At 49.1% G+C, this 1,410-nt stretch overlaps 1 annotated feature.

Moving 5' to 3' along the window:
- Positions 670 to 1,170: an enhancer, noted in NCBI's record as "H3K4me1 hESC enhancer chr7:50935547-50936047 (GRCh37/hg19 assembly coordinates)". NCBI's record gives its function as "activates a minimal SCP1, AML or CMV promoter by ChIP-STARR-seq in naive H9 embryonic stem cells {active_cell/tissue: H9 hESC(naive)}" and the evidence as "EXISTENCE:reporter gene assay evidence [ECO:0000049][PMID:30033119]".

The following is a 1,410-nucleotide window of genomic DNA, read 5'->3' on the forward strand; positions in this document are numbered from 1 at the left end:
ATTCTATTTTTATAGATGGTCTGGCCATTGTCATTTGTATATTCAGTCTCTCAGCGGGGATGAGGGTGGGGGCAGAGTCTACCATACGCTCTCCCCGACCCCAAGGTTTTGTCTTCTTTTAAGTTGTATCACACATGCCTGCATCAGTTGCATTACATAATGACAAAAGAAATAACATTATACAGCAGTCAATGCTTCCAGATATGCTAGCATAAGCCCCAAACTATTAATATATGTTTTAGTTTGTTTGGACTGTTATGAAAAATCTCTGTTGTTTACAAACAACAGAAAATTATTTTTTTGCCCTTCTGGTGGTCGGAAAGTCTCGGATTCGTTCAGGTGTCCGCTGAAGGCTGCTTCCAAGGGGCGCCTGTTGCTGCCCTTCCCGGGAGTGAGCGCCGTGTCTTCCGTCCTGCGGCGGAAAGCAAAGGGGGCAAACTCTGTGTAGCCTACTTTATAAGGGCTATGATCCCATTCAGAAGGGACTGTGAATCCCACCCATGACCTAGTCACCTCGTAGAGGCCCCTAAAGCTCATATAAAAGGCAGCACGGGTGCAGGAACACAGCTTCCAGGGGCGCAGGGGATGGCCTGGCTTCTGTGAACTGACTGGCGAGATGAGGCTTTTTGGATGAAGGATTCTAAGATGTATCTCTTTCGAAAAGAGCACGGTTGAGACTGAGACGCACAATACCTGACTGGCTAAGTATGGCAGTGGGCTGGGGTGGCAGTGGTCGCAGGGCTTTAGGTCTTGACACGATGGGGAACCGCGGCAGCAGATGCAGCAAAGGCAGTGAGGCCAACCGAGTCTCTGGGTCTGCAGCCGGGAAGCTCTTGCCTTCTTGGGCAGCAGGTCTGTCTCCTTGGTGCTGGGAGCCTCCTCTATGAGATGGGGCTCCATAATGTGGCTCTACGTTCCCTTTCTCCTCCAGTGTGGAAAAAAAATCCCTGCGTGACACACATTTTTTTCCATATTGGAAGAGAAAGGGAATGCAGACCCATACTGCCTGTGTGCCACACACCATTTGCAAATTAGTAATAACTGTGATATGCACTCATTCACTGAGGGTGCTTTGGACCTCTCTCCCACTCTCCATGAGTGGATGCTACATTTTTCCATAATCTACTGGATCTGCCATTTCCTAGGGACTTGCCTTTTTCCCACAAAACAGAGTTGAGGCAAAGGAAAAGCCAGCCCAGGTAGAAGAGGCAACAAAGGCAAGGGGTGGGGATCCGCATCATGATTTCAGGGAACAGCAAACGTTCCATGGGACTGGAGCCCTGAGTCTGTGAGGAGAAATGAACAAGTCTACCACAGTCATCCAGAATGAGAGGCAAAATTATGTCACAAAAGGTGTGAGTGGGAAAACTGGGCCCAGCGGCAGATTATTCCAGGAAGGGATTGTGCCTT

This window comes from Homo sapiens, chromosome 7, assembly GCF_000001405.40.
Source record: "Homo sapiens chromosome 7, GRCh38.p14 Primary Assembly".
NCBI classification, from domain to species: Eukaryota; Metazoa; Chordata; class Mammalia; order Primates; family Hominidae; genus Homo; species Homo sapiens.